The sequence below is a fragment of the Homo sapiens genome, chromosome 1, assembly GCF_000001405.40.
Source record: "Homo sapiens chromosome 1, GRCh38.p14 Primary Assembly".
Classification (NCBI taxonomy): domain Eukaryota; kingdom Metazoa; phylum Chordata; class Mammalia; order Primates; family Hominidae; genus Homo; species Homo sapiens.
The window spans coordinates 169,463,303-169,487,933 of NC_000001.11; the positions used below are offsets into that span (position 1 = coordinate 169,463,303).

The 24,631-nt window shown below is 39.1% G+C and overlaps 1 protein-coding gene across 2 annotated transcripts, besides 7 other annotated features; it reads right to left on the reverse strand.

Moving 5' to 3' along the window:
* On the reverse strand, nucleotides 607-22,668 carry SLC19A2 (solute carrier family 19 member 2). Of its 2 annotated transcripts, NM_006996.3 has the most exons (6): nucleotides 22,261-22,642; nucleotides 13,853-14,455; nucleotides 6,662-6,884; nucleotides 5,342-5,534; nucleotides 4,809-4,950; nucleotides 607-2,675 (listed from the first exon to the last, which is right to left on the reverse strand). In NM_006996.3, the coding sequence occupies exons 1-6, from the start codon at nucleotides 22,462-22,464 to the stop codon at nucleotides 2,547-2,549; spliced, it is 1,494 nt and encodes a 497-aa protein (NP_008927.1). In that variant the 5' UTR covers nucleotides 22,465-22,642; the 3' UTR covers nucleotides 607-2,546. The 2 variants fall into 2 exon arrangements, with proteins under 2 accessions (NP_008927.1, NP_001306596.1); NM_001319667.1 differs by lacking the exon at nucleotides 13,853-14,455 and having other exon boundaries at nucleotides 22,261-22,668.
* Nucleotides 22,047-22,106: an enhancer, noted in NCBI's record as "active region_2072". NCBI's record gives its function as "activates an Ori minimal core promoter by ATAC-STARR-seq in GM12878 lymphoblastoid cells {active_cell/tissue: GM12878}" and the evidence as "EXISTENCE:reporter gene assay evidence [ECO:0000049][PMID:35858748]".
* Nucleotides 22,287-22,466: a silencer, noted in NCBI's record as "silent region_1546". NCBI's record gives its function as "represses an Ori minimal core promoter by ATAC-STARR-seq in GM12878 lymphoblastoid cells {active_cell/tissue: GM12878}" and the evidence as "EXISTENCE:reporter gene assay evidence [ECO:0000049][PMID:35858748]".
* Nucleotides 22,649-22,943: an enhancer, noted in NCBI's record as "tiled region #5964; HepG2 Activating DNase unmatched - State 1:Tss". NCBI's record gives its function as "activates a minimal TATA promoter and a strong SV40 promoter by Sharpr-MPRA in HepG2 cells {active_cell/tissue: HepG2}" and the evidence as "EXISTENCE:reporter gene assay evidence [ECO:0000049][PMID:27701403]".
* Nucleotides 22,649-23,699: a biological region, named in NCBI's record as "Sharpr-MPRA regulatory region 5964".
* Nucleotides 22,747-22,996: an enhancer, noted in NCBI's record as "active region_2073". NCBI's record gives its function as "activates an Ori minimal core promoter by ATAC-STARR-seq in GM12878 lymphoblastoid cells {active_cell/tissue: GM12878}" and the evidence as "EXISTENCE:reporter gene assay evidence [ECO:0000049][PMID:35858748]".
* Nucleotides 22,779-23,699: an enhancer, noted in NCBI's record as "H3K27ac hESC enhancer chr1:169455319-169456239 (GRCh37/hg19 assembly coordinates)". NCBI's record gives its function as "activates a minimal SCP1, AML or CMV promoter by ChIP-STARR-seq in primed H9 embryonic stem cells {active_cell/tissue: H9 hESC(primed)}" and the evidence as "EXISTENCE:reporter gene assay evidence [ECO:0000049][PMID:30033119]".
* Nucleotides 23,007-23,076: an enhancer, noted in NCBI's record as "active region_2074". NCBI's record gives its function as "activates an Ori minimal core promoter by ATAC-STARR-seq in GM12878 lymphoblastoid cells {active_cell/tissue: GM12878}" and the evidence as "EXISTENCE:reporter gene assay evidence [ECO:0000049][PMID:35858748]".

Sequence of the window (24,631 nt, forward strand, 5' to 3'; positions counted from 1 at the left end):
TTGCATGAAAAATTTCCAGGACTTTGGTGATAAGCAGCGAAATCAATGCCTTAAGTAGATTTTGAAATGGTATATTAAAAAATGGTACTCATTTGGATACTGTAAGAAAATACTGATTAGGTTTCTGGGATATAATGGACAAATGATTCTCAACTCATGGCAAGAAGATTCCTCCCTGGGTATCAGAATAATTTGAGGTGGAACAAAGAGGCTATGAAGTTTCAGAACAAGGTGGTATTTTCTGCTCTTGCTTTAATTTCCTTTATTGTAAAAATTCAGTTAACATCAAAGAGAGTGTCTTTTTTTTTTTTTAAGGAAGAATGCTTTAAAAAGAGATAAGAGCAGTGCCAACATGAAAACCAAAAAAAAAAAAAAAAACAGTGCAACGGGGTGCCAAAAAAAAGGGGGAAAACATCTGAAATAAGGGGGAAGAGTCAAAGGTAAAAATCACAAAGCAATGGAATAATTAAAAAGATAACAAAAGGTTAACTAGGCAAGTTAGACCAGGGGAAGACTTAATATGAAATTTGTCCTAGGATAAATTATTAAAATATTTAAAGATATAATCTAAAGCTCCTACTGAAATAGAAGATAAATTTAAAACAATTTTGATTAAAAAGAGAAAATATACTGTAAAATATTTATTTAATAAAAATAATTTTATAATCTATACAGAATTGAATAAAAAGTACAACAAATTATTTTCACTTATTTACAAAACTGCATACAGTACAACTTGCACATTGAGTTCAGCATTCTATAAATATGGCCACATACCAAGATGTGAACATATTCTTGTCTTATATAAGAAAAGGCTCAGGTTGTATGCCACAAACTTTGAATTAAATTCCAGGGAAATATTGCTTTGGTAACATGAACAATTTGTACCACATTCCATTAAAAAAAGATTTAATAAAATCCCTCAAACAGCACTTTTCTACTTGTTTCGGAGTACACAATTCCCAAATTAGCACAAACAAAACAAAGCAAAAAAAGAAAAACAGACAGAATGTAAAATGAAGGTTGCTACTTTTATGATATCACTTCCCTTTCCCTTCCTTAGCTAGTGTTCTTTTCCTTTCCCTTAATAGTAAAGGATGGTGAATAGAAAATGACCTATTCTTATCCCCATCCATTTGCTTCTAGGATTCCTGCTTAAACCAAATGAGTATGTCGACTTTGCAATCTTGACACACTATTATTAACACTGTTCAGCTGTGTCATTCTAAAAAAGTTAATACCCCAGTTAAAAGCACCTATCTAGATTCTTTTCAAGATAAGGCAACAAAGTCAGCTTTAAAATAGTTTTCATGTCTGACATATACTAGCAGCCCCTTGGTAGACTGATTTCAGAATTAAATGCATATAGAACATTTTTTCAAGTAACTTGGTAATGAAATCACTAGCAATTTTAAGCAAATATTCAAGATGATCTACCTTTAGAAACAAAGGCAGATTTAAGGTAAAAAAATGCAGGAATCACATCTATCCTAGTTCCTGTCCCATTGAAATAATTGAAAAGAGGCTCAGTTTATGAAAAAGGCCTTGGACTAATGCAATTCCTATTGACATCTTTACTTGGATAAGAAAAACAAATTAATATAAAAACTATAAATAGGGATGAAATTATTAAAAAAAGATTTTTCATTTTATTTTGGAAATAAAAGGGAATACAAATACAAATGGCCTAGTTACATCTTTAGCCTATATATGAACTTTTAATCTTGGAATTAATAGTCCTTCATATTGAAGATTTAAAGACAAGCAAGCGTACCTTAAGCTTTCTTAAGTCTCTTCATTTAGCAGGCTTCAAAACTTGCCTTATTTTCTAACTAAATGAGCTTCTCTGGGAAGCATATGAATAATGCAAAAACGTACTTCTAAACAAATTTTACAGAAATAAATAATCGTCACAATGGGAACCAAGAACATTCATATGATGAATTTTTTTAAAATAACTTAAAATTAGAAATGATACGTACACCTTAAAATACAGAACACTAAACCAGAACAAATATTGCCAGTGATAGAATAACTATGTAGAAAGACCAATGTACATGAGTAACACAGAAATAAGAATTAAATTGAATAGAGGCAGATGCTGTTAGAACATATTTCCATCCATCATGACTTGCAACATTTTGTGGCCTCTGTGGAGCCCTGGTCCCACCAGGCCAAGCATCTGGCTAAGTAGATACAGACATATGTGACCTATAAAACACCAAACTCACTTGCTAATGAAGTATACAACACCATGTGCTGCTTTGATTGCTCTTGACTGGTTTTTAAAATCAAGTTCACTTTTGAATCAGAAAAAAAGTCATCCTTAAATTAGCTCTCATAAATAATCCATGAAATAAACTTTACTTCTGGCTCCTCTGAATAGTATCATGTTATTCCCGGAACACAAGGTATTAGTCAAGTGGCTGCTGTGAAGTCAAGAAATGCACATTCATAAATATATGTCTACGCTTTAAAAAATCAAACACATCCAGGCAGTTGCTGTGCAGAGTTCTTGCTATAAGAAGAAGCCCTTCAGCAGTATATTATGAAGTGGTTACTTGAGAACTTGATTGTGGATCTTCCAGCTTTCTACATTTCTTCATAACACTGACTGCACCACTGGCCAGGAAAACCACAGCGATGAGTGCAAAATAACTGGCATAGATCAAAAACTAGAAGGGGGAAAAGCAGTTTATTGAATTATCAATGACAAGAGGATTACTCTATAATAAAGTATATTCAGAATTTGTCCATAAAGCCTCAAAAAATATTGCATACTTACACCACGTGCCAGACCCTGAAGACACAAAGCAGCATCACAGCACGGTGGTACTAAATAAAGCCTGACTGCCTGAGTGTGAATCCTGACTTCATCCCTTACAAGCTGCGTGAACTTGATTGAGATACTTCATCTCTGAGCCCTTCTTCACTTACAAAATGGAATTCATAGTAGTTCTCACTTTACAGCGATGTTGGTACCCATCAGTGAGATCATAAATGCTTATTAGCACAATGCTAATGCTGTTAGTATTACTTTTATTGTTGTTGCTGTTATTGTTATAATTCAGTCCTGGTCTCTGCCTTCAAGCTGATAGGTGGGTACAAATAGGCCAAATTCTGAAGATCAAGAACTTCTCTATTTTTCCCCAGAAGAGGGCAGCGGCAGGTCAACTATATTCCATTACAGGATTACTTAATGTAAGAATTCTTCCCTAAGACAATTTTTTTTTTTTAAGTTCTGGGGTACATGTGCAGAATGTGCAGATTTGTTATATAGGTATACGTGTGCCATGGTGGTTTGCTGCACCTATCAACCCATCATCTAGGTTTTAAGCCCTGCATACATTAGGTATTTGTCCTAATGCTCTCCCTTCCCTTGCCTCCCACCCCCCAACAGGCCCCAATGTGTGTTGTTCCCCTCCCTGTGTCCATGTGTTCTCATTGTCCAACACCGACTTATGAGTGAGAACATGCAGTGTTTGGTTTTCTGTTCCTGTGTTAGTTTGCGGCGGATGATGCCCTAAGCGAAATTTTAATGTGACTATATGGTTTATTAACATCATCATCATCATCATCTTCTTAAAATAACATACTAAATACTTACAAACTGGTTCAAAAGTACAATGAGAGTATGGCCTTAAATCACTGAGCCAGTTTCTTTCAATGTTGGCTACACTTCTGCAGGAAGCCATTAATCAATCATGGCAGTTAGGGTTTCAGCACCACCCATAAAATCCTATTATTCCACGTGTTTAAATCCACCATTTCTATAAGAATCTGCTGACAAATTTCCACTTCCAATGACAGCCATGTTTCCCTCAACTGTAATAGTCCTGGGAACTCTCCCTTATACAGGGAGGATGGCAAGCACTTAAGTTTCTCTCCTACTTTCCATCCTGAAATAAGTTTTGGGGTTAGATGTTGGTTTAACTCTAAGCTCTGGAACACTACTAGTGATGGTATGGACAAGTCACTTAACATCTCTCAGACTCATCTTCTTCATGTCTAATACAGCAACCCTACAAATCCTATATAAAGCACTTGACACGTAGAGGCACTCAATGCACATTGTCTATTATTACTATTTCTCTCTTAGATCGCTTCAGTAAAAACAAAGTTAATTACGGCTAATATGTTGGGAAGAAATCATTTGGGTTGGGATGGGGGTGGGAGTAAATACTTCTTGATTCATTCAGTTGCCCATTTTACCAAAGTACAAAACAAGATATACTTAAAACTCACAATGCATGAAGGCATATACAACTATACAATTCCTGAACGTAAAAAGTATTCACATTGTTGTTGGGTGTTGGTGCAAGTTTCTCAATAGTCATAAGTTACAAATCATAATGTTGTTCATCAGCAGCAAGGCATTACCGTGGTATTTGGGTGAGGGGTGTTTTAAATAAAGAAGGGAGGAGACTTAAAGAGTTGTGAGATGAAGCAGGGAATCTCAAACATGGGATACAGTATTCCAAGCATAGATTTAAGTATAGAGGGAAATAATGGATGAGGAAGCAGAAGGTCTTGGTCTGTAAGGAATCAATATTACCTCTCAGCTGAAACAGCCCCATTGGGCTGATGAGTTACACTCGGGAATGTTCTAAGACCTGACAATCCCAACACCCTCCCAGGAGAAAAGAACTAAGGATAGGGGAGAAGATGTTGAATGAAGGAAGGAGGGTATGCTTTTACTTTACATCTGTTCCCTATTGTTTGGATTTGTTTTCATTAAGCATACATATACTTCTGTCACCCTGATCAAGTCACACATACTACCTTCGATGCCAAAGGAGAGATCTTACCTGAGTGGTAATTTCTAATCCAAGGCCACTGGCATCTACCACAATTAGAGTGAGCAGCGTCTGCAGTGCCAGGGCAATGAAGGTATTTACACCAAATACTAGGGCATAGCGTTCCATGCTGAGGTTTGCAGCAATTTGAAAACTTAAAAAAAAATAAAAGAGTGAATAAATAAGAATTACTTCTGGAGTACTTATAATATTTATTCTAAATAAAAGTAAACATTTATCTTTAAACATGAAGAGTCCTTCTTTCTACTGTCAATTGCCTTTCCAACCAAATGAAAACATTCTGCAACTAAATGATATAAATCTCATGCAAACATCTGAAAACAGTAGGAACATACAAACATGGGAATAAACAAAACTTGCCTAAATGCTTCCTCAGGAGAAAAACTGATAATGCACATATAATACAATGCTTCCTCCCATTTGCCTCATTTAACTAGAAACTTGAATATTTTGGTTTGTAAAGAAACCAAAAAATTTATCCTGTTACAATTTTTCCTAAGGCTTCTATGAGCCAAAATACATACGTTGCTATCGTGATGAGTAACATGTAGATGATTCTGAAGACAACATAGGATGCATAGCACACCCAAATGTTACCCACAGTGTCCATGATATACACTGCAGCAGCAATCAGGAGAGAAAAGAGAGATAATGTCATTTCTCCCCAAGTTGACCAGGATATTTTTATATAACCAACTGCAAACACAGCAACAGCACCTACAGAACAAACAAAAAAAATCCAATTATTTTGCTACACAAATGCTGTTGCAATAAATTAAAAACTCAGCTTAGATTATTAAATTTTAAAATCTGCAAACTTATAAACAGAATAGCTCAAGATTATGGAGGGCCTTGAAACTCACACAGAAATTTCTGAACTTGATGGAATCAATAAAATGGAGCCACTGAGATGACAGACTGAATTAGGAGAGGTGGCAATGAGATGAAAATGCAGGACAAAGACACAGGGACATTGCTAAGGAAAAAAAATGCTGCAGCTGAAGCAGAGGCAAGAGTCAAAAAGAACCATAGCTTCTAATTTGGCATCATGGCAGGATGAGTCATCTCTCCTTCAAACCAAGGAGCAGTCTAGAACATGGCAAAAGGGCTTCTCTGCCTTTTGGTAAAACAGTGATGATGATAAGGATAGCTAAAATCTATGAAGTGTTTTCTGAGGGCCAAGACAGATAATAAGTGTTTACAGAAATCATATAACACCATCCAACAACCTCAGGAGGTAGGTCAACAAATTAGAAATGAACAATAGAGTAAGATGGTCAAATACACAGGCTCTGAAGCCATCCTGCCTGAGTTCAAGTCTTGACTTTACTACTTACCATCCATATGACCTTGAGCAAGTTATTAACCTACCAGTCCCAAGTTTCCATTGCAAAATGGGGATAAATTCTACCTATCTCAGGAATTTTGTGAGGATTGAGTTAATGTATATAATGTCCATAGAACAGTACCTAGCACATATTAACATTCAACAAATATTAGATACTATTGTTATAAACTATTATATATTGCCATTCAAAATTTCACATCAAGTGACAAAACTACCCAGTAAATACAGAGATAATGGAAACTTGGATAAACAATCTTGAAAATTATTATATTAGGTTTACTCAAAGCTTATAAAAAAATTCCAGTTTGTTAGTCATAGTCCTGCTCCACTTGAGTACTTCTAAGTTGTCCTCCTAAATTGTAAAATCTAGCTCAAAATAATCATTTTTTGAGGCTATTTCAAATTTGGGAGGGGTGAATAAATCTGATTATGGCTGGCTTAACTACCAGAGGAATCCCTCCCCCACCACGACCCTCTATTATCCTGCATTGCTTACCCAGTAAGGTTGAAACGGCCTCCACGCCACCATTATAGATAGCAGCATAGCGAGAAGGCATCACTTTCTCCCACAGGCCCTGTGTGTAGTTCACAACTTGAAAATAGCCACAGGTAGAGAGGGCCCACCACACAGACCAGCAGAGAAGAGGGCGAGAGGAGTAGCACATCAGGAAATCATTCCATAGTACTTTCAATACAAGGAGACGGTCTGGCTTGGGTTCCTACATAGCAAAAGGGAACAATGCTCAAACTCTGATGAAGGCAATTATATAGAAAGCAATTTACAGGCCCAATTACTTACCTAACAGACTTTTTTCCTTGTGAAAACTAACTGCTTACTTCATAAACTTATTAACAAATACATTTATCCCCTCTGGCGAAAAATATGTTCTCATAGGATTTTTGCTTTAAATGCACTATAGCATTAACACAGCTGTATGTAATCAACCCAGCAAAAGATGTACTGTTTACAAAATGAAGATGATGAAAAGAGACCGCAGGCTTCAGCCAATGGGAGTCTGTAATCTACATCTCCCATAAACTGGCAAACAACATAACAAGAATAATAATAAGCAACAGACTAGCAACCCTAATAAATCACTATTCAGTTAAGGCCTCCTATCGTTATAATTGACAGACTGATCCAACAGTTAAGATAGAAATATTGGAAAGAAGTAGACCAAAATATTAGCAGTTCTCTCTAGGTGGTGGGTTCTTAGTGATTTAAATTTTCTTCCTTAAACTTTTTATATTACTTAATATTTAAACAATGAGAAATAGTATTATAATAAAGTAATAAATAAAGCTACTGGGCTTATAATTGAGTGAAGCAAGACATTACTGAGCTACGCACTATCCCAAGAAGTCAATATGAGATGTCAGACACTCTGTGAGATATCTCTGATTTCAACTGTATGAAAGGACTAATCTACCAAAGGTTACTGTAATCCCTGGGCCTTGCTCAGAACATGGGAAGGCCGGGTGTAGTGACTCATGTCTATAATCTCAGCACTTTGGGAGGCCAAGACAGAAGGATTGCTTGAGCCCAGGAGTTCAAGACCAGCCTGGGCAAGAAAGTGAGATCCTATCTCTACCAAAAAAAAAAAAAACCCACAGAAAATTTTACTTTTGTGGCTAACATGGAAAGGCAAAATGAGAGCCATGGAAAGATGAGTACAATATACCACTGAGTAAAATAACAGCAAGTTACAAGACTACATGTAGATCACAATTTCATTTACTATAAAATGTATACGTACATATGTATATAGGAAAAGAGATGTTTGAAAAGAAGTTCACTAATCTTTGGGTGGTAGTAGTTCAGGTGATTTTTTATTTTTTATATAGCTTTCTGTAACATTTAATTTAAAAAAATAAGTAGATGCCAGGCACAGTGGCTCACACCTGGAATCATCACACTTCAGGAGGCCGTGGCAGGAGAAATGCTTGAACCCAGAAGTTCAAGATCAAGCTGGGCAACATAGTAAGATCCCGTCTCCACACACACACACACACACACACACACACACACACACACACACACAATTTAATTAGCTGGGTGTGGTGGTGTACACATGTAGTCCCTGCTACTCAGGAGACTGAGGTGGGAGGATCACTTGAACCTAGAAGATCAAGGCTGCAGTGATCCGTGATCACGCCACTGCACTCCAGCCTGGGCGACAGAGACAGACTCTGTCTCAAAAAACAAACGTGTGTGTGTGTGTGTGTGTGTGTATATATACACACACACCATATATATCATTTTTATAAAATTAATAGATATTTTCTCCTCTTATATACAGTAACAGTGACCATCAACATTAGTTAAATAAAGGCCATTTTCTCCCTCAGAGGCTAGAAAACCTCACTGGACTGAGAATCCGAGTTTCATCGTTGTTTTACCTTCTCATACCATCCCAAAGCAACCCCAGTGTGGTGCTTCCTTCTTTGTGCTGTTTAGCCCAGAGGGGGATATCCTTCAAGTACCATTACTACAGCCCCTTTCCAAAATTCAGGGAGGAGTACTGAGGTTAATCAAAATAACTCAGAGAAAGAAGTACCGACACTTGAAAATTCTACTTGATGAATTTGCATAAGATAACCACCTAGAAGTACAACATACTGCTGTTACAAGATTGATTTCTTGGCACTGTGTATGAGAGCAAACCTTGTGAATTTAAACAAATCACAAGACAATTGTTAATCATATATAATGTGAATTTGCTAAGAGTGAGTGAATGGTACCAAGCACATTTTCATAAGTCTTTATTCAAGGTCCACCAGTTTTATTGAACTACATCAGAATTTTACTATTTAGCTTCAGTTGCTTAACCAATATAACTTGGAAAACAACTGGGATATCTAAAACTTTCAAGGATGCTGGAAGGATTATAAGAAAAGAAAGTATATTCCTGGAAGAATGGAACTATTAAAAGGATTCACAAGTTTCTATTAGAAATCCTACCATAAACTGATAAGAAAGCCTTACTTTTCTCATCTAGAAAATGAAAATGATAACAATAAAACCTATCCACAAAAGATTATACAGAGTTACACTAGATAATGTATATATTTATTATAGAGGGGCTCAATTAGTGTTATTTTTATTGCATAGCTTAAAAAGTCATGGCATACATAAAATAATGCCCAGTATAATGCATTTGAGAACTTTAGATCTATTACATAATAATGAATTCCACACACAGAGGTTAATAACTACTCAATCTATTATCTGGCCATGCCAAAAAGAAAAGATGGCAGGTCCTGTTTATAAAATCAGCACCTCGTGCTATAATCTGCAGGCTTCCTTCTATGCTGTTTTCTAGGCTTCAAATGTTAAGCTTATATGAATCACACTTTATAAAGTAGCATTTGACATATTACCTTTTATGTTTCTTGTTAAATTACATCTACAAACAAAGGTTTATTTCTATTACATCAAAACTCTGAGCTGCTCATAGTTAATCATGCATGCTCTAATTTAATAAGTGGCCTTCACTGTGTTCCATGGAGCTTTAAGAGTTTCATGTGGGATGAATAACAGGCTCAAGTATGTAAAATTATCAGACCTGCATTCCTGTTTCAATCAGAAAGGCTCAATTTTTATTTACTTATCATAACGGGCATCTAGTTTCAGATTTCATTTGAACATAAGATTTTGACGCTGTTTTATAAATTTAAAAATCTTTAACAATTACTTCCCTCTATCAGGGAATGGAAGTTTCTACTGTAGTGGTGGTTTTTGAGTCAACTAGATATGGGTGGAAATTTTATTTATTTATTTATTTTTTTGAGACAGAGTCTCTGTTGCCCAGGCTAGAGTACAGTGGCACTATCTCAGCCCACTGCAACCTCTGCCTCCCGGGTTAAAGCAACTCTCCTGCCTCAGCCTCCCAAGTAGCTGGGATTACAGGCATGCACCACCACGCCCAGCTAGTTTTTGTATTTTTTTTTTTTTTTTAGCAGACATCGTGTTTCACTATGTTGGCAAGGCTCGTCTCGAACTCCTGACCTCAAGTGATCTGCCTGCCTTGCCCACCCAAAGTGCTGGGATTACAGGTGTGAGTCACCATGCCCAGCCTGAGTTGGAAAGTTTTAAAGTGCCACTTCCTATGTGCCTTTGCGCAAGTCAGTTAACTAAATTTAGTTTCCTCTTCTGTAAAATGAGCAAATATCTACATTATTGAGTTTTAATAAGAATCAAATAACATACTGACTCTAAAGTTCTTAGCACAGTATCTGATACCCAGGTCAAAATAAACAGGAGGTGTGATGATGATGATGATGAAGATGACCAGGGGTGATTAATTCAAAGAGAAAAGGAAAGATTGCTCTATTTACAACCTCACAAATACATGACTATCTACCATAAAAGTACAGAGCTGTTCCGGATTATTCACGTGTAATGATAATGATAATAGTAATAATAGCAATTACCATTTATTGGAAACCTACTATGTAAACTCATTTGAAAGCTTTAAATACTCAAAATAACTGTATAAGGTAGATATGTACATAAGGAAACTAAATCTCACAGAATTAAGTAACTTGCCCAAGTATTAGAACTAGGGTTTGGACTTCACTTTCTTAAAAACTCACAATGAATGAAGCGAATAGATTTTCGTTCATTTTGGTTCTCAGGGTTTATTGTAGTTTTTTATTTTTATGGGTTTTGGTGAGGGAGGTAGGTGGTAACTCACTACACCCTGCTGCTAGAAATGACATTATTTAATACCAAAGTGGAAGCATTAATTTCACTGTTGTCATTGTTTAGAGACCTTAGACATGCAGACACAGAAAGAACACTTACTAGTAGTAAAAGATATCAAACTACAAATAAAAGCATGGCTATATTAAGAGAATCATTTACTAGGTATTAATTACATGTCAGAACCTGTGCTAAAGAAGTGGTTTAATTTATGTCATTTCTAATAGATGAAGAACTCAAAATAAATCAGTTTCACCAATCAGCCAACTACATAATGAATCCAGCTCTGCTTGTAAAAGAAAGTCACCAGCTTTGGTTCTTCTTTCTGCAAGATCAGCACCCTTTGCCCCAATGCAATAGACTCTCTTTAAAAATAACTCACAAATACTCTAAGGTAACTTGTAGAATGAGCTATCACTTAGACTCCTCTTACTTCATTTTCTCTTTCTATAAAAATCAAGATAAAACCACCTACCTACCTACTCTTCAATAATTACCACAATTATAATTTATGGTTTAATTATAGGTCTTGTCAACTTAAAATAGCTCTGTGATCCCTAATATCCATATTCTGAATTTTCTTCATGCTTGCCAAAGAAAAACAGCAGCATTTTAGGGCCAGTCAGTGCCAATACCAAGCAGCACTGCCCATCTGCTATGGTATCAGTAGCAGAGCCTAGGATATCAGGGAACTGACTTGAATCCTAATTCTGAAAACAGTGTAACTGACATGATGGTTCTGACATTGTTACCCCAGTTAAAAGACTTCACCGAGAAAGGTTTAGAAAGAACTGGATCTCATACACACTTTTAAATTATGTTCAAGAGTATATTTGTACAATTCTGCATAAGTTGCTAATCTCTGATCCTAATCCTTATCTCTAAAAGGACAGTCTTGATGAAATCTAATCTCTTTTTAAAATGCTCTGCTTTTTCTATGACTTGTGATTAGAGTCATTTCTAACTCTAAAATTCTACAATTCTTCAGTATATAAAATACTGACACACTGTGTATCTATAAACAAGTATTTCAAGTTGATCTAGAACAGTTTTTAAAACTATAGGTCATCACCCATAAGTTGGCAATAAAATTGATTTAGAGGACAGTGAACTGAATTTAAAAAAAATAAAAGAATGTATCAGAATAAAACACTGTTGTAAAACTTGTTTCTGTTATATATAAAATATATACATACCTATGTATGTACAGGTTTTCTATGTAAAATGTTTTCTATGTTTCTTACTTATATTCAAAAAAGTTTGAAACTGTCTATAAAAATCTTTAGAACTATGGTCAATATGTTAATATCTAAAATATATATTTATACACATATTATCTGTATATACGTTAATTTTAGCTAAAGCCACTGTAACACATTCAAAACAGATAAAGAAGTGTCTTTATTTTTTTTCCACTTCATAAAATCTATGAAATGATTACACACCTCCTTCCCTCCCCCATCAACCCTCTGTTGACTCTCTAATATCACCTAACAAACTATGAAAAAAATCAGCATTTCATTGCCACTTAATCCTTGGTCATTCTGACAAAAAGTGCTCACAGGTGCCCTGGTAATCAAGGTGAGTTTCATGATGAGGGTTGCCCAGGCTCTACAAGTCTACCCAGGCTCTCTGGGATGATAACCTAAATTTCAAGTAGTAATTTGAGAGCTGAAGAACGGGGATAGAGAAAAGAGAGTAATTTTCAATGAGGACATTAGATGCCACATTTAAACAATTCAGTTAACTCTCAGTAGAGAATGAAAGACTTTACTCATAATGGTTCTTTATTATCAGCCAGCCTACAAAGCTTATGGAGCTCAGTCCGACTGAGGCCACCTACAAAGCTGGAATGTTAATAGGCTTATTTCCAAACATGTCCCAGGAAAACTAAGACTACAGTGTGGCTGGAATTAACTTTGTTCCTCACAGCTTATAACCTAATAGAAACAAAAAAAACACTTGAATATTTAAAAAAAAAAAAGGGTGGGTGTCTAGGGAAAGGAATTCATCTTCCTGGCTAGACAGAACAGATGGATAAATTATTTTAATGCCATACCTCTCTCTTCCAAGAGACAGCTTCATAACACACTTTTACTATTTATTCCATCACCACCTCAAACTGTCCTCTTGTGATCTCTTCGTCTGTATTATTCATTACTACTTCACTTCAGCAAATTGTCATTTGAAAAATAAATAACAGATATCCCTTCTAGCACAGAAGAGGAAATTAACTTCTTACCCTTAAATACTGTGGGCTTCATGACTGGGTGCGGTGGCTCACGCCTGTAATCCCAGCACTTTGGGAGGCTGAGGCTGGTGGACTGCTTGAGGTCAGGAGTTCGAGACCAGCCTGGCCCACATGATGAAACCCCGTCTCTACTAAAATACAAAAATTAGCTGGGCGTGGTGGCGAGCGCCCATAATCCCAGCTACTAGGGAGAGGCTGGGGCAGGAGAACTGCTTGAACTCTGGAGGCGGAGGTTGCAGTGAATCGAGATCGCACCACTGTTCTCCAGCCTCAGCAATAGAGCAAGACTCTGTCTCAAAAATAATAATAATAATAATAATAATTTGGGCTTCAATTCAGAAACTAGAAGTAGATACTTAATCATTTATTAGAATCATTTCATCTACTCATTTAGCAACAATTTTCTGAGTGCTTTATTTATATGCCAAACACTCAAAAGATGAAGACACAGCCCTTGCAATCCAAGGCATCTCTGACATGAACAATATAATGCTGTATCAGTCTGACTTTGGAGGTCACGCACTCCAGGAAAAAATAAATGTGTCATCCCTAATATAAATAAACCATAGCTTGAATGAATGAATGAATGAATGAATAAAGCAATAAACCAACTCAGGATAAAACATGAATCCAAATAAATACAAGATCTACCAAGAGGGAGTTTGCTGTTTTTTTCACCACGGGTCCAGCCCCCATAGTAGCAATTACAAGATATTTAAGGCTGAGCTTACCGGTTCCTCCACGGGAGGCTCCTCCATATTTAGAGGGATTTTTGACTCAATGTCCTCCCAGCCAGGAAGGTGGTTAGAAGCTGGGGTGTCAGTAACAATGCCACCATTTTGTACCTTGATGCCATTCACTCTCTGGCAGGTAGAAGGAATGTGGTGAAAGAAGAGGCTCTTCTGTGGCATAGGTAAAAACCAGGCCACAGCAAAAGCCACTGAAACACAGGTAAGAGAGATGACATTCAGGCTGAACAGCGACCAGCCTGCCACTGAGACAAGGATTTGCCCTAGGACAGAGCCCACTGTAAAGCCCACCAAAGTGGCACTTCGACAGTAACTTGTGACTTTCTGGTACATGCCCAGGTCCACCACACTGTAGATATAAGAGTAATAGGCAATTTCAGTGGCTGTGGCGATGCCATAAAAAAATTCTAGAAATTGAATGGCCAGCAGTCCCTGGGCATAGAGCAGCATAAACCATGTAACAATAAGGCTGAGCCCCTGCAGTAGAACAACAGGTTTATAACGGAGGTAGTCTGTGGCAAGGAACACAGGAAACAGTAGCACCAGGTAAGAGTAAGTCCATACTGGATAAATTTCATTGAAGACCTGGTAGAAAGAGAAAAAAAAAAAACAAAAAACATTAGTGATGAAAGGACCTGGAATACTCATAAAGAATTTATTCATAAAAAACAACCTACAAATACCTCAAAGATCTCAACCTTGACAACAGCAGTTCAGATAACTTTGAAAATGTCTTTTCTCTCTTTTTTGTTTGAGATGGAGTCTTGTTCTGCGCCCAGGCTGGAGTGCAGTGGTACGATCTTGGCTCACTGCAACCTCTGCCTCCCAGGTTCAAGTGATTCTCCTGCCTCAGCCTCCCGAATAGCTGAGATTACAGGGACCCACCATCACGCCTGGCTAATTTTTGTATTTTTAGTAGAGGTGGGGTTTCACCATGTTGGCCAGGCTGGTCTCAAACTCCTGACCTCAAATGAGGAGCCTCCCAAAGCGCTAGGATTACAAGGGTGAGCCACCTCGCCCAGCCTGAAATATCCTTTCCTATCCCCAATACCATCATCTTTTTCCTAATAAATTCTTCCCATTAATCAAGGCCTAGTTCAAAGACTTCCTTATTCAGAAAGACTTTGCGGAAGCCAAAAGTACTTGTATTACAACATTCAAACCCTTTTTTTTTTTTTGGTTTTGTTTTTTGTTTTTTTGAGACAGGGTCTCCCTCTGTCACCTAGGCTGGAATGCAGTGGCAGAATCATGGTTCACTGCAACCTCCGCCTCAGGTGAGGCTCAGGTGATCCTTCCACCTCAGCCTCCCCAGTAGCTGGGACTACAGGCCTGTACTACCACAACCAGCTAATTTTTTTTTTTTTTTTTTTTTTTTTTTTTGGTAGAGATAGGGTTTCACCACGTTACCCAGGCTGGTCTCAAACTCCTGGGCTCAAAGCAATCCACCAGCCTCAGCCTCCCAAACTGCTGGGATTACAGACATGTGAGCCATCTGGCCTAGCCTCAAACTCTCCTAATACTGATCTATATGCATCAGTTTCCCCAATTAATTCATAATACTGGCTCTTCACCATGGCTGCATCTCCTAAGAAGCTTTAAAAAAATGTGTTAGCCAAGCGTTGTGGCACATGCCTATGGCTGCTACTCAGGAGGCTGAGGTGGGAGAATTGCTTGAGCCCAGGAGTTTGGGGCTGCAGTGACTTATGATCACACCACTACACTCCAGTCTGTATGACAGAGCAAGACTCTGTCTCTTTAAAAAAAAAAAATGCCCAGCCACAGATATTTTCTAAAAACTTCCCAATAGAGTTTTAAATGAGCCAGAGTTGAGAACAACTGCCTTATAGGCTTTTTAAGGATAGACCCCTACATTCACCTGTATAACCTGTCTAAAAGCCAGCATACTGTTTGGAAGATACTATTCAATAAATGCTTTGAAAACGGAATCACTGTCAATTCTTACTTCTAGACACAAGATAGGGAGCCTTTATCCTACTGTTTCATTAAGCTTCTCTGACTTTAAGTTTTGTTTCTTTTGGGGCAGAGGAACAAATAAAGATGGTCAATGTGTCCTACAGTCTTGACAGAATTAAGTCTCTCTAGATGGCAGGAATATAGGCAACTTTTATGTCCTTCTTTTTGCTTGTTTTTAAATAGAAAAAAGAAGTTTTTGCTGTTTTCTTTCTAATGCATATTTTAAAATTGGGATATAGTAGAAATGATCTTTAAAATAAACTTTAAACCAGAAAGACCCCAACAGGAATTTCAGTTCCATCACTTGCTGTGTGATTGTAGACAACATTCTTTTAGTTCCCCTTAGCCTTAATCTCCATTATCAGTAAAGGGCGGTTGTTTGTTGCAAAAAGTAAATGAGACACAACATGTAAATTACTTACTCCACCTGATTTATTCACAAAGTCTGAAGACTAGAGGACAAGCTGACAAGGACATCTGGGGCAGTATGAATTAACTAAATTAATTGAGCTATCATTCCCATTCTTCCAACAACAATCACTGTAGGAGATTTTTCCTTCCTTTTGTCAGTGGCCTCAACTTTTAAGTGCTTTTTGAAAGGTAGTTTTGGTAAAAGGCTGAATACTTTGTGATGAAGCAACCTAATCCCAGACTTTTACATTCTGAGACCAATAGTAACTTTCTTTTTATCTTTCCTGTACATCTCAGTTCACTCAAGTCTAATATGAGCTAAGGTTCTAAGGTTTTAGGCAAACAATAAAAAATTGTTGCAAAATCTCTTGCCAGTGCAGAGCATAGCTATAAAAGTAAAACATAATCCCTGTTTTCTGAAATACATTCCAGACAAAAGTGATCTGTTTAATGGCCTCACCTTCATGAATTTTGGTCTAATTTGTGTTGGTAAATCAGTTAGCAAGCTCCACTTGATCAGGAAATTTTGTTGCACCTGACTATGTGCCTAAACGAATAATCAAGAAATGTAGAAATGATTCGTATTCAAAACTGTGGAAATTTTAGCAAATGAGGAAAAAAGTGCCCTTAGCTGCATTAAATAACTCTAAGTAGAAAACCAAAGCAGGTAAGGGTAATCTTGAGATTTCCAGTTGTGTTCTAATTAACAACTTGTCATTCCTTTGTGGCCTATACTTTTACAGATACTATCTGTCAGCTTTCTTTTTTTTTTGAGACGGAGTTTCACTCTTGTCACCCAGGCTGGAGTGCAATGGCGTGATCTCGGCTCACTGCAACCTCTGCCTCCTGAGTTCAAGCGATTCTCCTGCCTCAGCCTCCCGAGTAGCTGGAATTACAGGTGCCTGTCACCATGCCGGGCCAATTTTTTGTATTTTTGGGAGAGACAGGGTTTCAATATGTTGGCCAGGCTGGTCTCGAACTCCTGACCTCATGATCCGCCCGCCTCAGCCTCCCAAAGTGCTGTGAACCACCGCACCCAGCCTGTCCATTTTCTAAAGTTTGAAACTGCCTCCTCTGTTTGACTAAGTGTCACCTTCACAATTTCCCCAACATAGCACCATGAAGTACTAGCCATTAAACCTTTCCTTTAAAAATGTCCTCTACTGCTCCCTTCAATAGTTCATCTTCCTTTGTTTTGGGATTTTGGATGACCTCTTCACTCCAATAATATTGTCTGTGCTTAGACATGTTACATAACTTTTAACCATAGTTGTCCCAAAATGATTAACTGCTAAGTTTTCATTGTCTAAGTTTCATCCTTTAAATTATCAATTTAACGTATCTTTACTCATGAGTCTAATTCTACTATTACAAAACTACAATTTAGATAATGAAGATGGAGGAGAGTAACACTGCCAACCTTGCAATAACAACTAAAAACAAAAAGAAAGGCAAATAGGGGAGAGGGGGAAGACCAGATAGTTTCTCTTTAACTTATTCTAAATAAGAAACCTGCATTTTCTCCTTTAAAAGACATCAACCCAGGGGGAATGCCCCACTCACACTATTATCAGCATCATAATAACAAACCTCTACTGCTGTGTTACACACCACGCTAAGCACTTTCTCTAAATTCTCTCTATTTAATCCAAACCACAAACCTAAGGTAAATGCTTCTATCATCTCTATTTTACAAACAAGGAAACTTGGCCTTAAAGAAAGGTTAAGTGAATTGTCCCAAGTTATCACAGGATTGGCAGAAGAAGGATCTGAATTCATAAATTCTGAATCCGCCACACTAAAATGCCTGGTTTCTTCAATCAGAAAACTGCTATTAATCATCTACTATCTTCCAGGTTAATTCTAATGCTTGCAGTAGCTTTTCCAATCTGCACTGAGGTGCTTTTACAGGGCATTCATGAAGAGATAAAGACTACAGTCTCCAGCACTTAACTAATGGGTCTCCAAGGCAGATCCTTTTCTTTTTCAGTGTTTCCAATGACAGCAAAAAATGCTTCCTTGATATTTTGAATCTTGAAGGGAAACATCCTACAGGCAAAAATGTACCAATTACAGACCCTTATTAATTGTCCATACTCCAACTTCTCACTTCACGTAACATCTGCTATGTGAGCAACGGGAATTGATTTTATTATGACCAAGGTGCCTTTCACAACTCTTTGGATCAGTGCTTGTGTTTTCTTGAGCTACAAAGTCAAGGGAAAACAGATGTTCATTTTTAAGTTCTAATTTAGATTTAGGCTTTAAATTAGAATCAAGTTTCAATTAAACAACTAATAGGCAGTTATTTGCACAACATTGTTTTCAACCAGCACGGAGGTGACAAAAAGAATAAAATGGCCAGGCGCAGTGGCTCATGCCTGTAATCCCAGCACTTTGGGAAGCCGAGGTGGGTAGATTACCTGAGGTCAGGCGTTCGAGACCAGCCTGGCCAACATGGCAAAACCCCATCTCTACTAAAAATACAAAAAAATTAGCCGGGCATGGTGGCGTGTGCCTGTAGTCCCAGCTACTTGGGAGGCTGAGCCAGGAGAATCACTTGAATCTGGGAGGCAGAGATTGCAGTGAGCCGAGATCACGCCATTGCACTCCAGCCTGGGCAACAAGAGCGAAACTCCATCTCAAAAAATAAAAATTAAAATTAAAATTAAAAAATTTAAAAAAAAAAGAATAAAATAAGGCTAGGCACTGTAGCTCATGCCTGTAATCCTAGCACTTTGGGAGGCCAAGTTGGACAGATCACTTGAGGCCAGGGGTTCAAAACCAGCCTGGCCAACATGGCAAAACCCCGACTCTACTAAAAATATAAAAAATTAGCTGAGAGTAGTGGCACAAGCCTATAATCCTGGCTACTCAGGAAACTGAGGCATGAGAATCGCTTAAACCTGGGAGGTAGACGTTGCAGTGAGCCGAGATCGCACCACTGCACTCCAGCCTGGGCAACAGAGCAAGACTGTCTCTAAATAAATAAACTGAGATCCTCAGCTCTCCAGGAGTATTGAACCTAGTGAGGAATATATAATATATGCAGTATTTATAATGGAAATAGGAAATACAGGGTTGTTTCTTCAAAATGGACCTTGAAGGATGAGAAACCTAAAGGCTAACAAAGATATCAACAGATATATATGGGAAGATTATTCCAAGAAGAGAATAAGTCTTTGAGTACATGTCAACAGATGAGACTGTGGATATGCTGGACTTAAGACTATTAGATTAATATGAATGGAGCTTGGTTATGTGGAAGTGGTAAGGGGAAGAAGGTTTGTAGTAGGATATAAGGCTGTCAAGGAGGTAAAAACCAAACTTCGTGAGGCTCTGAATATCAGGCAAAATAGGTGGAATGTTTAAAAAAATCTAAGAAAGGTAGTAAATGTCTGTCAAAACACATGCTACAATGATGAAAGGATAAAAAAGTTTTTAGAGATAAAGATCTGTTTTACTGAAAGTCTGGCCTTCAACTATTAACATACAGTCAAATTTTAGCCTGCTTAAAACTTACACACTGGTATCTGTTTTAAAATTAATGCTTTTCCTGAAATCTAAGAAAAAAACTTTTGAGAGTAGACAGAAGAAATCTTTTTCTCCTCTCCTTTTGTTTTAGGATTTAGTTAACAATAGCTCTATTCAAACCAACTTGGCCCTTCTGCAGTCTTCTAAGAGCAAATACAAACTTTAATACAAATGTCGCTGAATATGACTTAGCATTAGCTTTGCTTAAAAATCATGTAATTTTTTTTATTTAACTGTCCATGGCAAAAAACAAGCATTCAGTAAGTAATGAATAAGTTGTTCTATTTATTTCAATTATTAGTTATACAAAAAAACGTAGGGTTTGCCACAAGGTAAGCAGAGGAGAATCAGCCATGATTTGGTGGTCCTCTGAGAAGACACCCCTTCCCCAGACTACTAGATTTCTCTTCAAATCCCACGCTTTTCCTCAACTAATTTGCAATAAGAGAAGTACACTTATGTTTTTTGTTACACAATCAGCAAATAGTTACTACGCCTGGCAACTCTGCTTTATTTCTGTGCCCCCTGAACACACTTCACTCACCTTGAAAAGCTTTCTGATAGGACAGAGCACATGATCTTGGTAGCACGTCACACAGCAACCTTCTACCCAGAGCACATGACAAAACAGATCAGCTTTCAAATATCAACACTGGGAACATGTTTCTCTCCCTGTGTTTCACTATCCGGAAAGGCGCACAAACTGTGCAGATCACATGGCAGTTCACATGAAACTTTAATGGTCAGCTGTTCACAGCAGTATCAATTCTGCCTCAGTGGCTACACCTCAGATTCAGTGGTTGTTTTGGGTCTCCAGAATCATACTTTCTCATATCAGTGCAGTAATTTTCTTGTAAAATCATTCTGTCATGAAATTTGGCTGTTTTGACATTATTGCTTTAAATCAGTATTAAAACTCAAATAGGTTATGAATAACTGTTACGGTCGCTTATGTAATGATCCACAAGACTGAGAAACGGCCCAGCCACTCCATCCCACAACTGGCAGGTCAATAGGGTAATTTAAGGCCAGGCAAAAAGTCAGTGATACTTGCTAGAAGTGAACAAATGTCAGACTCTCAAGTGAAACCCTCAATACGTAAGTCAATACTGATTCTTAATTCTCTCTCAAGTGCCCTTGAAAATGACGGAGCATTGCAACAAACAAACTGCAAACAACAAACTATGAGTAACTATATCTCGCCAGTGTGCAAATGATTCCGGTAGTGCCATCTCTTGTTCTGACCTGTTATGCAGGGTTACTGAGTGGCTACTCAAAAGAAGTGACTGACTACTACCCACATAGAGAAGAGTAAGGTTTAAATGGGAGGAGTATTTTACAGCACCTGGGGCAAGGAGGCAGGGTGGAAGGAACAGGTGTAGGAAAAAAGAAAAAGCTCTCAAGTGGCCCCTTGACTGATAGTAGGAAAAAGAACATGAGACCTCAGCTTTCACCCTTTGTTGTATTCAAGGAAGAGGGTGTTGAATCGGCTTTATTTCGGTTTTGTGGAAGTACTTTGGGTTTAATTTCTTTCTCAGTTTATATATTGTCTTTCTTCTGCAAAAATCAAGTGCTGGTTTTGACCATGCACTTAAATAGGTCAGCACATTTCTAAAGTACACTATGCGCTTCTGAAGTACTTTATTTGTAAGCCCTCATCTAGGGAAAAAATCAATCAGCAAGAAACTCTTGATGATGGACTACGTGCTCTCAATTACCCTGAACATCACAGAAGGCCTTCAAAGACATCACCTTGTATCTGAGAAGCAAAACTAACATCTGTGAAGCAACAATTCGCAATACAAGAAACACTATAATTAAAAGTCAATTATGTTTCACCATCTGCCTTTATCCCTGGAGGTTGGTCTTAAGGTAGAGAGGGGCAGGATATCCTTGGACACAACCTCACCCAATTAAAAATCAAGACAAATTAAGATGTTCTGTACTTCTGTCCTGTCCTTACTTGATTAAGCCCACCCATTCTGCCAAATGCAAACAAAGTAAGGTATGGACAGGAAGCAGGTGAAGGAGGTAGAGGGAAGATCCTTTCAGAAAAGCAGTGGTTGCCTACTTTCAGTCAATGAATATTTACTAAGCCGTGTCCAAAGTACACTTTGCTGTTTTCACTTCTTTGTCAAAATATTGCCCCCTCGCCCCCAGCAGGAACTGCTGGACCAGTCTGGGCAGTCACGCTAAGCCACATTACAACACGATCAGCATACTGCCTGACGCACAAGGCACGGGGCCTCTGGACGCGTGTTCTGAGCCCTTCGCAGGAGACTCGTCCTACAGAGCCGAAGAAAACAGAAAATCATGAACACAAAGAAGAGCACGAAGCCGACCTCCAACTGGCAAAATCAGAAATCTCTGCCGAGAATGGCTCGAGCGCTTTTCTCGGTCCTCTCTTCCTCCGCTGCCCACCCGCAGGCCGGTCGCCCGCCCTTCCCGCGCCCCGCGTCCGCCGCGCGTACCTCCCTCTCGGTCAGGTTCTTGTCCGGCCCCAGCAGGTACGGGGTCAGGAAGGGCTCGGACGGCCTGAGGCTGGCGAAGAAGCCGTAGGCGCAGAGCAGCGCGGTCGGCAAGAACCAGCATTCGCGACGGACCCGAGCGGTCCGCAGGAGCACAGTGGCCGCCGCCGCCGCCGCCCGCCGAGACACCGGGCCGGGCACATCCATCCGGGGCGCGAGGGGAGGGGACCCGGCCCGGCCCCTTCCTTCTCCTCCTCCGCCAACTGGAGTGAGGGTCAGGCACTTGTAACCGCGAGTGACGCCTTCTCCCTGTAAGGCCAGGACGTTCTGGACTCGCCGCCGCCTCCGGCTACAGAACCCCCAGCTTTACCCTACAGACGCCTCTAGGGTCGCTGCCTGATCGCCCAGTTTAAGGGAGACCCGTCCTAAGGCCCACCCTCTGCCACCGCCTCCACTCCGGGAACCAATCACAGCGGACGCCGGGAATACTTGCCTGCTCTTCCATTGGTCGTGGGTCACACGACGTGAACTGGGGCGGTGGCAGCACGCCAGGCCTCTGACGTCCCAGGGCTCAAGCGCGGAGGACATGTGGAACTCCACTCCAAAAGCGGCGGCTTGCGGCGGAGCTCTCTCTAGTGAGGCGGCCAGCTGGCGTTCGTGGCACACTTGCTGTCGGCTCCGCTCATCTGTTGGGAATGCGTCCTGTGGGCCTAGTCCTCCGCTGGAAGAAACGCGCTGTTCTCCCCAACCACCGTTTATCATTCTTATTCACCGTCTCCGGAATGTCCATTCAGTTTCCGCTCCTGAGAGACTTAGTGACTGAGGCCAGGCAAAGATTTCACCTTGGGGAGGGGGAACGTTAAACCTTTCCTCCAGCAGCTTTCGTGTTTTAAATTGTATTCATCCGCCATGGAAAGACATCAGAAGCCCAGGATCTAAGAGACAGACTGAAATGAAGAAAGTAGATAATATTGTGAGAATAATGAACAAGCTGGTCACTGAACAGCAGAACCGTAATGGAGTCCCAGTTAAAGGGTTTTAACTTTATTTCGTCACTTTTTGCAAGCATGATACAAAGAAAACAAACACCTAACTACGCTACGGTTTATAGTTAAAAGGAAGGTGGAAGATCCTGAGTCATTACAGCAATCACAAAACATGATGGATTTCTTCATTTAAAAACACAAAAGAGGTCTTGGCATAGTTTTCAAGGGCAAAGCATGACAAGACTCTCCAGTGCTTTCTTTCATCCCCCTCTGTGTGCCTTTTTCTGCCTGACTCACAGCCTGGCTCAATCCTAATCTTTCTACTGCAAAGATGCAGCATTTAAAGCAATTTTTCCTGTGCAGTATTTGTAGAATGACAGATCCTGCCAGAAGCTCTTGGAAACATTTTGGAACTATCTTGCTTTTCTGTATGTTATGATCCATCTAGCACCGTTTTCCTCCTGTGGTAGCAAATGACACTTTTTTCAAGCATCAGCAGCAGAAATGAGTCTACCAGATGGAATAAGATACTGGTAAAGGGAAAGATTTGTTTCTAAGACTGCACAAATGAATGCACCCAAATCTGTGAGTTGATTAATCTGTGAAGAAATACAACTGGCAGTATTTACATATCTCAATGAGTCTCAAAGTGTGGTCGAGGAAGCCCTGGGGGTCCTTGGGACCCTTTCAGAGGTTCCACGAGCTCAAATCTATTTTCATAACCATGCTAAGTCTTTATTTCCTTTTCCACTCCAGAGGCTATATAATGTCTGATGACATCATCGCTTTATAGGATGAGAGAATACGTGCTTGTATATTCTTGTGTTTGTAAGACTTTCCAGGTTTAATTTATTACCATATGGCAATTTTCAATAAGTATAACCCACAAAACCCAACAGATTTTTGGGGCACCTCTAACAAGGGTCCTAAGACCAAAATGTTTGAGGACTGCTAATCGATATTATTCAATTGTCTAGTCCCCTAAACTCCAACCCTTCTTATCAGGACTACAGAGAGAAAACAGGTGGTCTTCTTGACAATCGCTTTGTATTTACATTCAGTGCTTTAGTAGAAGAGAAGAAAGAAAGAGAAAGCAAGCCAGAGAGGCCTCGGAAAGAGAAGCCTACTTATTAAAAATAGCTTTCTGGCTGGTCACGGTGGCTCACTCCTGTAATCCCAGCACTTTGGGAGGCCGAGACGGGCGGATCACTTGAGGTCAGGAGTCTCAGACCAGCCAGGCCAACATGGCGAAAACACGTCTCTACTAAAAATGCAAAAATTAGCCGGGCATAGTGGCATGCACGCCTGTAGTCCCAGCTACTTGGGAGGCAGAGGCAGGAGAGCCACTTGAACCCAGGAGGCGGAGGTTGCAGTGAGCGGAGAGCGAG